Raw genomic sequence first — 12,753 nt, 5'->3', positions numbered from 1 at the left:
AAGGTATATGTGATGGTCTCATACATGCATATGATGTGTAATAATCACATCAGTGTAATTGGAGTTTCCATCACCTCAAACATTTATCATTTATTTGTATCAGTAACATTCCAATTTCACTATTTTAGTTATTTTAAAATATGTAATAAATTATTATTAACTGTAGCCACCCTGTTGTGCTATAAGGTACTAGATCTTTTTCATTCTTCTAACTATATTTTTTGCAAACAACCCATCTGACAAGAGATTAATAACCAAAATATACAAGAAACTCAAAGAATTTGATAGAAAAAAATATGATAATACAATTTAAACAATAGGCAAAAGGTCTGAATAGACATCTCCCAAATGAAGACATACAAATGGCTAACAGGTATATGAAAAAATGCTCAACCTCATTGATCATCAAAGAAATGCAAATCAAAACTACTATGAGATGTGATCTCACCCGGTTAAAATGGCTTTTCTTCAACAGACAGGCAATAATGAATACTGGCAAGGATATGGAGAAAAGAGAACCCTCATATACTATTGGTGGGAAAGTAAATTAAAACAACCACTATGGAGAACAGTATGGACATTGCTCAAAAATCTAAAAATAGAACTAGCATATATTTCAGCAACCCCACTGCCATGCATTTGTAAATAATCTGGTTAGTTATAAATCGTATTTTTATAAATTGTATGTTATAGATATATTTCTAAAGGAAATTGGTATATCAAAGAGCTAGCTGTACATCCATGTTTATTGCAGCACTATTCACAGTTGCTAAGATTTGGAATCAACCGAAGTGTCTATCAGTGGATTAATGGATTAAAAATGTATTACATATACACAATGGAATACTATTCAGCCGTAAAAATAACGAAATTCTGTCATTTGTAACAACACGGATGGAACTGAAGGACATGTTAAGTGAAATAAGACAAGCACATAAAGACAAATTTTGCCTGTGTTTACTCATACGTGGAAGCCAAAAATTAAAACATTTGAAATCATGGAGATATAGTGTAGAATGATGGTTACCAGAGGGTGAGAAGAGTAATGGGGAGAGGGGGGAAGTGTAGATGGTTAATAGGTACAAAAATATGGTATGCTTTTTAATACTTTTAAAATGGCGATCTTAGGGTTAGCTGGGGTCAAGAGGATAACTCAGATGACAAGGTTAAAAAAAATAGCCAAGTCATAAACTCAGTCCCAAGGAAAAATGAAAGTGTATATTGAGTACTTGTATACTATGTGCCAGGATTATTCTAATAACTAACTTATGTAATTCTCACTGTGATCCAATGGAATTAGGCTCTGTTAGTTTTCTCATTTTTACAGATTGGAAAACCAAGATTCAAAGAAATTGTATATATGATTATACTAAGAATTTCTAAAATTTGTATTTAAACTACAAATAATTTAACCCACCTTTTAACCACTATAATGTTAAACGATCATGGTGTAGGCCTTGAGAATGAGTAGCTGCAAACTTGACCTGATGCTGAGACCCCCAGCTACTAGTTTGGGGTTCATAATTATTTCCCGATCAGGAAGCACACTTATCAGCTCTGTGACTTTGAACAAGTCTCTATCTTTTGAGCTTGGACAGTTCATCAATAAAATGATGATAATAATTCTTAACCTATAGGCAATTATCAAGATTAAATAAGATGGTGTGCATGTTTTACAATAAATGAAGTTGCTGCAGTGGTTGTTATTGGCTCCAGAATTTAGGGTTTAGCTGAATCTTGCAAAAATGTCTTCCATTCGTTAATATTCATTTGGAAGTTTAATACCTGTTTTTAATAGCCTAAAAAATTCTTACTGAGATTGGCAACTTGAAGAAGAACATTGATTTATTTAAGCTAGCAAATACTAGTTTTCTTTTCTTCTTTTGTCCCTTCTTCCTTATTTCCTTTTAGTTACACTTATTATCCAGGAATCTGGAATATACACATTCCCAGAGGCATTTTATAGGCATTCTTGATCCCATTTCTGTGAGTAACATGCACTCATAAAATAGATTCTAGGATGTCTTATCTCTGCTCCTTAATATCTTTCCTGACCCCATTGGAATCTATCCAATTAAACTGTTACTTCCTTCATACCACCTCTCCTGATCACTACCTCAGCTAGAAAAAAAAAAAAATCTTTTCTGAACTTCTGGAGGGGAAGATCCATGAGGAATGAGGGCAAGATGGCAGGGTGTTGGGTTGTAAGGTAGCACACTAAAGTGATTTACATGCGTGAAGCTTGCTTCCTGTCAAATGTTTGTTAAATAAAATGCAGTGACATGGGAATATGTTGCATTGATCTTATCCCATACACTTTTTCATTCTGGTAATTTCTTCTCATTGCCATTTGGCTTCCCTGAACTCCCAGCTATGCAGCTGACTTTAGCCTTAATTTGGAATAGAGTCTTTTCTCTTTCAGGCAAGGTGTAGGCAATTTTACCTCTCTGATGCATATATTCCCTTTTGAATATTTCACCAAAAACAGTGAATCAAATGAAATAAATTTCCATTATGGTGATTAAGGAGGATTGCATCATGGCGGGCTGGTAAAGGAGATATTTGGGGCCTTATGAGCTTTGCATTGCGATTCTCAAATCACAATGTGCAAACTTCACGTAAAATAATTAAGTATTTTTTATCAATTACATTTTCACGTATGAGACAAATATTTTAAAGTAAAAATTAACCTGTAATATTTATTTTTACATTTTTCATTAACTAAGATATTATCACTGGTGTTAGTCCTCTGTATTATTCAGGATTCTCCAGACAAATGGAACCCATAGGATAGATAGATAGATAGATAGATAGATAGATAGATAGATAGACAGACAGATAGAAAGTGATATGTTATGAAGGACTGGCTCACACAACTGTGGAGGCTAAGAAATTCAATGATCTGCTGTCAGCCAGCTGGAGGCTCAGGAAAGCCCTGGTATAGGTCCAGTGTAAGCCTGAAGGCCTGATAACCAAGGGAGCCAATGGTGTAAGTCCCAGTCTGAATTAGAAGACCATAAACCCAAGAGTGCCAACATCTGAGGGCAAGAGAAGATGAATGTTGCAGCTCAAAAATGGAGTGGACTTGCCCTTTCTCCACCTCTTTCTTTTATTTGGGCCCTCAACAGATTGGATGATGCCCACTCACATTGGTGAAGGTGATATTCTTCTTTGACCAGTTTACCAATTCAAATGCTAATCTCTTCCAGAAACATCTTCAAAGACACACCCAGAAATAATATTTACAAGCTATCTCAACACCCTATAGCGCAGTCTAGTTGACTCAGAAAATTAGCCATCACAAGTCCCCCACTTATTAACTCGGCACCCATATGCAACTTCTTAAACCATACTGAATCTCCAAATAAAAAAAAATAACAAGGAGATAATTCTGCCTGACATGATACAACTATACTACACGTAACAGAAAACAAACTAATGCCTTACCCAGAAGAGGAGGTAAAATCCATGAATGATGTTTATTCTTCTGATATGCAGTTGCTTAAATATGATGATGTAAAATGAACAATAATTAAATACCCTAATATAGCGTCAGTACATCTTTTGTTATTTGTGAAGGAAATAAGACAGGAAAGAAAACAAAGATATTTGCTTAATATATGAATATATACATATAAGCATGTTCATAACAAAATAGGGAGGAAACACTCCTGGCAATTATTTTCCTATATTCAGTATCTAGTCTTGTCTTGATAGCTGGTATTTATACCTTCTTCTATTACCCATTCTGTATTCCATTTTCCTTCAACAAGCACCTCAGCTAGTCATGGTTCTTAACTTCAGATTAAACCCAATCTTTCTTTTTGAAGAGTATGGGTTATTAGTAGCCTTGTTTGGATTGGGTTATTGTGATTTTTAATTGACCTTATATCACAGGGCCTGGTAACACTAAGCAATGCCCTAATGGATCTCCTGTATTCCAAACATACTCTTCCTCATCCCCACTGTGGAGTATTACTCAAATTTCTTTGTGGTAGCCTGGAGCAATTACCCCAGCCAGCACAGCAACTCCCTTCTTATCCTATTGATTCAGAGGCATGAGAGGCTCAAAGAGGCTGGGTGGCAGTTTTGACTTCCAGCTGAACAGAATCATTGTTGTGTCTCCTGGTGGAAGCATTTATCTCCCTGGAACTAAGACCTGTAGGCCAGCAGAGCATAAAGTCATGGGAACAGGAAGCAAAACTTTTTCTAGTCTGTCTCTAGTGGTAATAATGAGTGATACCACTCCCATTTTCACTCCTTGATTCCTGGGCTCATAAATCCTGCTATCAAAGACACAGCATCATACATTAATTGCTGATTTGAAGCACATGTAGCCTTTGAAGAACCTTGCCCCAGCCCTTCGAGGTATTCACACCTAGCTGGCACTGTAACTGAGTCTTCCAAAGATCATCCCACCATTCTATTAATCAGCTGTTTCAGGATGGTAGGGAACATAGTAAGACCAATGAATTCTATCAGGATAGGCCTATTGCCACACTTATTTTGCTGTAAATTGAGTCCCTTGATTAGAAGCAATGCTATATGAAATCCCAGGTAGATAATGCATTCTGTAGGTTCATGGATGGTAGCTTTGGCAGAAGTGTTGTGTACAAGAAGGGAAAATTCATATCTAGAGTGTCTGTTCCTTCCATGATGGAAGCAGTCCAGTTGAATCAGTCTGTCACCAGATAGCTGGCTGGTTACCCCAGGGGATGACTCTACATCTAGGGCTCAGTATTGGTGTCTGCTGCTAGTAGATTGGGTACTCAGCAAATTGGTTAATGCCCAGCCACACTGGTGAGGGTGAGCTTTTTTACTCTGTTTACCAATTGAAATGCTGATCTCTTCCAGAAACACCCTTGCAGGCACTCTCAGAAGTAATGTTTTACCAGCTATCTGGGCACCCCTTAGCCTAATCAAGTTGACACATAAAATTAACCATTACATTTTCTCCTTAGAGATGTCTTAGAATGCTGAAATAATTTAATAAATTTAGTATTATTTGGAACAATCTTTGGATCAGAACTGTACAAGTTATCAAATATTCATCAGTTTCTATATAAGTATGGTGCCCTATTAAAGACTGAGAGCTATAAAATTGTTTCTGAAAGAGAAATACCAGTTACTGAATTAACTAAAATAAAATGTAAAAAAAAGTCAGTTTTTATATGCAAAAAATGTTCTGTGAAAACACAAAGTAGGAAATTGAAGAAGGCTTCAAGGAAGAAGGCATGTTGTATGAGCCCAAATTATAAGCATCACTTTCATGAGAGAAATTTGAGAAGGTGAAAAGAAAGAAGAGAATAGTCACAAAAGCAGCAGGCAGCAAGGTTATCTGGGAGAAAATAACCATGGAGTTCAGAAGGACTGAGGGGTGCATGAAGGCAAGTCAGGAGAGGCACTTTCCAGAGGGTTAGGCCTGGCAGGCTATTTGATTTTTTTCCCTGAGTATGGGGAATCATCGAAGTATGTAAGCATTACAGTGATGCAATGAGTGTGAGCCTTGGCCAGGAGGACATCTCAGCACTACGTTGAATGGTTTGAGGATGCAAGAGACAGAAGGTGGAGATCATTCTCCAGAGGACAGGCGTAAGAGCCATTGCCAGGGCAGGAGCATTGCCAGCCTCAGTTTTGAGATTATGGAGTTTCAAGTGCTAGAGGACCATTAATTTTGGCTGATAGCTGGCAATGTGAGGTCAATAGTGAGGATGAGGCCCAGAAAGAAAAGAAATAGAGGCCTGAAGAGTGTCACCAGGTTGCCATAAGGGAAGTTGCCAGTCAGAAGATCTGAGCCTTTCACTAATGTATGAAAGAAGAGAAAACAGTGATGAAGGATCAAGATGAAGCAGAGAGCCAGAAAACAGGAAGAATCCAGCATAGCCAGTCCCAAAGTACACGAAAAGATGGCAATGGATCATTTTGAAGGATGCAGAGAGAGATGGAGTAGATGGAAAAGCAAAATGGGCCATTGAATTGCATGTCCCTGGAGGACAAATCTCAAAGCACTGAGGCATGAACCAATATATGATTTCTTCAGAAAAAGAAAAAACATGTAGTAAAAGGATTCATTGCATTTATATTAGTTTTTAAATTACTTTTGGTTATAATATCTGTATGATTAAAACAATAAAATATAAGATAAAGTTGGTATTTTAACACGGTATCTCAACATTTACTTTTCAGTTGAATTTAGCAGTTTGAGCACCAAATAGGAAATAAGCCCTGAAAGTGCAGAAATGGAAAAAGCATAGGTTTGCACTCCCAAGGCATCAAGAAAAGCAAGGAGACATTAAACTTGCTACAACATGACAGTCTGATAAGTGCAATAAAGTAATATTGAAAGTAAGTCATGAATATAAGAGGAAGATTCATTTTATTGAGAGGAGGAATAGGGATGTCAGTTTGAGGTGGTCTGGGAAGATTTTCCTGAAAATGTCACCTTACCTGGGTTTTAAAAGAAAAATAGTTTCCAGCCAGAAAAATGAATAGAAGCAATTTTAATTTGACTAGGGTGTGTGGGTTTAGATAGTTAATCTCTCTTTAACTCAGTTTACTTAACCATAACATGAGAGAATGATCTTTATTGCAAAAAATTATTTATATAATCATCAACATAGGTTTGCTTTTTATTATATGCTAAGCCCTGAGTAAAATGTTAAGGATATGGGAACTGTGATGAAAATCAAATGAAAACAAAACAAAAAATATCTTTAAAATGTTTACTGTTGTTCCAAGACAAAATTAAAAGGTGCTGTCATTACATGTGTTATAACTATAAATGAATGAAATGATGCTGTTGACAAAAAGAATCAAACTCTGCAAAATATTTGAAGAGATTTATTTTGAGCCATATATGAGTGACCAGTGGCCCATGGCACAGCCTTGGGCGAGCTTGAGAACTTGTGCCCAAAGTGGTCAGGCTGCAGCTTAGTTTTATACGTTTTTAGGAAGCCATAAGACATCAATCAATACATGTAACATGGACACTGGTTTGGTCTGTAAATGTGGGATAACTGGAAGGGAGAGGAGTGGTTTCCTGGTCATAGGTGGATTCAAAGATTTTCTGATGGGCAGTTGATTGAAAGAGTTATCTAAAGACCTGGAATCAATAAAAAGTAGTGTCTGAGTTAAGATAAGGGATTGTAGAGAGGAAGTATTTTATTATGCAGATGAAGCCTCCAGGTAGCAGGCTTCAAAGAGACTAGATTATAAATGTCTCTTATCAGACTTAAAGAATCTGTCTTAAGGTCTGTATTTTGATGTTAATGCTGGTCAGCTGTGCCTGAATTCCAAAGGGAGGAGGGTATAATGAGGCACGTCTGACCCCCCACTTCCCATCATGCCCTGAACTAGGTTTCAGGTTAACTTTGGAATGCCCTTGGCCAGGGGGAGGATCTGTTAGTTAGTTGAGGGCCTTAGAATTTTATTTTTAGTTTACAAGGCAGTAAGTGAAGCAAATGATAACCAAACAGTCTTGCTGAAGAACAGGAGAGTGTGAAGTGTGTATGAGAATGATGGGCACTAGGGCATCCTTATACCAGAGGTGAGGCAGTAATGAGAGGAGATAAGGCAGGGGCCAGAACAAGAAGGTATCATATGCATACTGAAGGGCTTATACTTTATCTTACAGGGAAAATTAATAAGAAAAAGATTTCCAGCAGCAGGAAATATGTGGTTGCATATACATTTTTAGAAAGCTAAATGATATGCTCTTCTAAATCCTTAAGGTTTTTAATATAATCAAAGTGTTAGATTTGCAAAAGTGGTAGGGTAAACTTTATTTCACTTTTTAAACAAATATTTATTCAGGGTGTACGATATGCCACATATCATGCCAGCCACTGAGGATGCAAAAATCAACAAAATGCAGTTGCTACCCTATAAAAGCTCAATCTATTGAGTGAGACAGCTACATAGATAATTATAATAAAACACATACAATAATAAAGATACTCACTAGGCAGCATACTTACATGAAGAAAATTTCAGAACCCTGGGAAATATCAATAAAATCCAGAAGATAATCATGTACTTTAATGCTTGTTCTTAAGAAGTTCACAGAAAGGGTAGATTTTTGAACTAAATGCTCACGTAAGTAACAAAAATAACATGTAAAATTATGTCTGCACCTCCAGAAAAACAATTATTATGCAAGGACACAGAGAATGATTTTGAGTGGGTTTTCCTGGCACTCCTCTTTTTGAAAAATGGGGATAATGTTTACTCATACAAGTTTCATATAAAGAATTAAAGAATGCCTACATCATGATCCCAGGTTTTTATCTTAAATGTAAATCATGGTCACTTCAGACTTCAATTACAGTAGAGTAAAATGTGAGCCCTTAATGGAACTTTCATGAATCCACAATGATTCTGAGTCATCATGTAGTGCCTTTTTTCATAAATAAGAAAGTAAATGGGGACTTAATTGGTATGAGTATTGCAAATTCTTATTTAACATTTAGATTGGAGATTTTTATTTAATAGTACATTTTGATGCAAAGTGTTTACATTTTATTTATCATTTAATGAGTATTTATTAAGCCTCTCCTGTGAGCCAAGTACTGTGTTGCTACCTAGAAATACCAGAGTGAAGAAGATGGAGGTGGTTCCTTTTTCTCAGAGGTTCTCATCTGGTTGGGTCACGCTGTTCATTAGCAAGACGTTGGAGGTGGAACAAGAAGACATGGTATGGTCAAAGTGCAGGAAAAGACACTGGTTTGGGTCTTGGGAGTCAGGACTTCTTCTCCAGAAGGTATAATATCTCATTAGGAAACTAAAGAATGCGTAGGAGCTAGACAAGAAAGAAGCTTTGCATTCTAAGCTAAAGGTCTAGCCCCAGGTGGAAACAAAACTTGGAGACAAGCCTAAGCATGGCATGTTTGAGGAACTGAAAGAACATCAGTGCAGCAAGAGCTTGGAGAATGGGGGGGCTACTGGAAAAAAATGAGTCTGAAAAAGTAAAGAGGGCCACATTTCAAAAGTCCTTATAAATTATACTTATAAATTTGACTATTGTCACTACTATGAGTAGTGAGGATAAGATTTTAGTTTTAAAACTGTTGAGAACTGGATGAGCCAAGGTGGAGTCAAGGAGACAATTTAAAATGCCTTTGAAATAATCTAAGCAAGGTATTTTGTTGACTTTGTTTCTGGCATGGGGACCTGGGTGAGTGGTACTACAAGTCACTAAGGTAGGTTTCTGTGTGGATGGCACTGGCCTCAAGCTGCTGTGACACCCAGTTTGAAGATAATTGCCTCTCCTAGTCCATGCTTTCACAGCACCCTCTATTCTTCCCACTTCAGTACCTAAATGTAGTATTATGATTAATTTCAGTATTAGCACTTAACGCTCTCTATGGTGAAACCTGAGTTCCAGTCTTTATGAAATATTGTCTTTGTCTGGTCTGAGTGCAGTGGTGTTTACAATTAATTGATCACACACAGTTACAGATTTCTTTATTCCTTGTCCATTCCCATTGCTTCACTTGACAGGCCTAAAAATAAAAATAATAATAAAAAAAGAAATGTCATCATCGAACAGGTTTTTCTTCTATGTAGAAAGTTCATTGTGTCTGCTTTCCTTATCCTGCCCCACCCCTCTACCCTGCCCTTGCCATCACACAAACACAGACACACACGCACCTGCACATGTCATGTTGACGTGGTGTGCTTCTATCCATTACTTAGACTGTGTCAGGGCTATGAAGTCTTTAAGACATTAATATTTAGCACAATTTCTAGCAGATGTTTACTAAATCAGACTAGCTGAAAGGTAACAAAGGGAATATTGTTCTTAGCTAATGCTATAGGTATGGGAAGAATAAAAGGTAAGGACAATTATGTAGTTTGGAATTGCGTAGTAGAACAAACCTACAGTCCGTGATTAGGAAATGTAGTTCGCATTATTTGCAGCGCTAAAAAATTAGTGCTTTGGAATGCATGCTAATCTCAGTCTATTTAGGAAGAATTCACGTAAAGAGAAGTTGTATTGAATTGTACCCTACTATACTAAAAATGATTATGCTTTCTGAACCATCTATCATATAGTTACTAGGAATAACTGAATTACAATCACTCTTACACTGAGACTGTTGATGTACATTAAGATATATTGTCCTAATTTCTAAAATATAGGAACATATTCCTTAAGATTTACTTTCTTGTTTTTCTGTGAGGACCTACCATTTCAGAGTTTAAACTGTTTACATTTTATTTTTGTTACATTTTCTATATTCATGTTTATAATTCCTTTAGAAAATAATTCAGTATGAAATCACCATCTCTCTCTAAGTCATGTTTTTGAATGTTAATAACTTCTTTGTTATAACAGCATTATTCAGTACTTCTGAGTAGAAAAAATAGAAATTAGCATTTTATGTTGTCTGCAGAGAAGTTTCCAGGCACTGAGGTATTTTAGATAACCTTTGCCCATAATTAATAATATGGATATTTTTGTTCCCTTGAGATGGAAGAGACATTATCAAGTGCTTACACTGTCCAGAGTTTTAACCTTTTGGGATTCTTTGATTTAATTTGGGAGAATATCACCAGGTCTCAAGAATATGATGTGGACATTGAGATCTTGATCCAATTACAGTTGCAAATCTCTTCCTAGTCTTTCTTATCAAGACTGAAACTGACTGATATGTTCCGCAAGAATTTTGCCAGTTTAATGGAAAATAAAGAACTATGGGAGGAAAAGACTGGTATAAAAACATACATAGGTTTAAATTTCCTTACTCTATGATAGTTAGAATGAAATAAATTGAGGGCAAACACAATGTTTTTATTCATAGTTGAATCCTAAATACCCAACAGAGTGTTGAATCGTGGTATAGTATAACATTCAAGGAAATTCTGACATTGACAATCTACAATACTTGCAAAGAGAAGGTTGTGTTTTATAGGCCTTTTGACTGGCTTCCCACTCTGAGCAACTGGCCAGCTCCTGAGCAGGTTGACTGTACGGACCACATTATCTCTTAGAAATTAGACTCCTCATGGACAGTCAGGATAAATGCCGAATGATTGGACAAGTCTACAAGACTATTTGTTATCTACCTAACCTGGATTTCTTGGATGAGATATGTTCCCAGTCAGAATGACAATTGAATATCCTCCATTTTAGAAATGACAAATAGTTTTCATCTTTTGTCTTAGTTGCAAATACTTGCTAGTGGCTTCCTATCCTGCTGATATATTATGTTCTGGCTCAGAAGGAAAAATTATCAATTAAAAGTTGTCAGGCTGGGCATGGTGGCTCACACCTGTAATCCCAGCACTTTGGGAGGCCGAGGCAGGTGGATTACGAGGTCAGGGCTTCGATACCAACCAGGCCAACATGGTGAAACCCCATCTCTACTAAAAAAATACAACAATTAGCTGGGCATAGTGGTACATGCCTGTAGTTCCAGCTACTCGGGAGGCTGAGACAGGAGAATTGCTTGAACCTTTGAGGCAGAGGTTGCAGTGAGCCGAGATTGCACCACTGCACTCCAGCCTGGTAACAGAGCAAGACTCTCTCAGGGAAAAAGGAAAGGTGTCTCATGAGCATGGCATAGGGGAACACCTTTGCCATTCCTGAGATAACGCTGTACAGCTCAAAATTATCAGCATCATCTTCCTCTGAAACATCTGGTCCCAGCTCACACAGGTACTCCACTCCCAACCCTGTAAAGGAAATTACCAATAAACATTGACCTATAAAAATAAGCTCATAAAGATACTAGTCAATAAACATATTATATGTACATTCATAATTGCCTTAGAAAATAACATTATATTTTTATAATATTTCTTAGTGTGTTATATTCATAATAACAATGTAACCATTATTGTGAGTATATAGATATTATAAAAGAAAATAAAAAAATTAGCATTATCTAGCCAGGTGTGATGGAACACACCTACAGTCCCAGCTACTCAAGAGGCAGAGGTGGGAGGATTGATTAAGCCAGCCCAGGAGTTAGAGCACACAGCCAATAAACTATGATTGTGCCACTGCACTCCAGCATGGGCAATGGAGCAGACTGTCTAAAAAAAAAAAAAAAAAACTCAGCATTATCTGTATCAAAAAAAAGTGTTGAGGGACAATACACCTACTTCTCTGAATTTAGACATCATAAAAATGAGGGAGTTGCACTAGGTGGTCTCTTCAGCTCAAAAATCCACTGTACAAAATCTACTTTAAGTTTTCTGAAGGACTGTTAGCAAGCAGTTTAAGAAAACTGTCATTGTCTTCTCTCTCCACATTGTTTTTTACATTCTACTCAGCAACTATAAGTATATGGTGATGAAAAATGTAAGTGAAGCATGTGGAAGGGGAAGAAGAGTGAGGAGGAAAATAAATACATTTCAAGGGCCATCTATGTACTAAACTCATGGAAGTGTTTTCCCTGCAGATCCTCTGTAGCACATCTCCTGGTCATTCATTAATTTAATTGACAAGCAAGCAAACATTGATTGAACACTTGTCACGTGGACATACTGAACCTGTGCCTCATTACTGAAACACTAACTTTTAATTTTCATATATTTAAAAAGTGTTGTCCAAAAATATACCATCTATGGGCACATATCTTTGTTTCCCCATATATTTTCTCTTTTTCAAGTCAGTTTATTCATAATTTTGCAAGCTTTTTCTCTACAAATCATGTAATAGATAGCATAAATATAAGAAAAGGCTGGGCCTTTCTTTTTCTGCCCACCAGTATATTCTTCTGGCAGTTAATCACATTTTCTCCTTCA

General features: G+C 36.7%; 1 protein-coding gene across 31 annotated transcripts in view, besides 1 other annotated feature; it reads left to right on the top strand.

Annotated features, from left to right (window-relative positions):
* NOL4 (nucleolar protein 4) overlaps nt 1-12,753 on the top strand; it is a 373,814-nt gene that overhangs the window by 213,711 nt on the left and 147,350 nt on the right. The window lies entirely within an intron of this gene.
* Nucleotides 6,920-7,600: an enhancer, noted in NCBI's record as "NANOG hESC enhancer chr18:31583567-31584247 (GRCh37/hg19 assembly coordinates)". NCBI's record gives its function as "activates a minimal SCP1, AML or CMV promoter by ChIP-STARR-seq in primed H9 embryonic stem cells {active_cell/tissue: H9 hESC(primed)}" and the evidence as "EXISTENCE:reporter gene assay evidence [ECO:0000049][PMID:30033119]".

This window comes from Homo sapiens, chromosome 18 (assembly GCF_000001405.40).
Source record: "Homo sapiens chromosome 18, GRCh38.p14 Primary Assembly".
Classification (NCBI taxonomy): Eukaryota; Metazoa; Chordata; class Mammalia; order Primates; family Hominidae; genus Homo; species Homo sapiens.
Note: the sequence above shows the minus strand (reverse complement) of the source record. Positions and strands in the feature narration are given on the sequence as shown.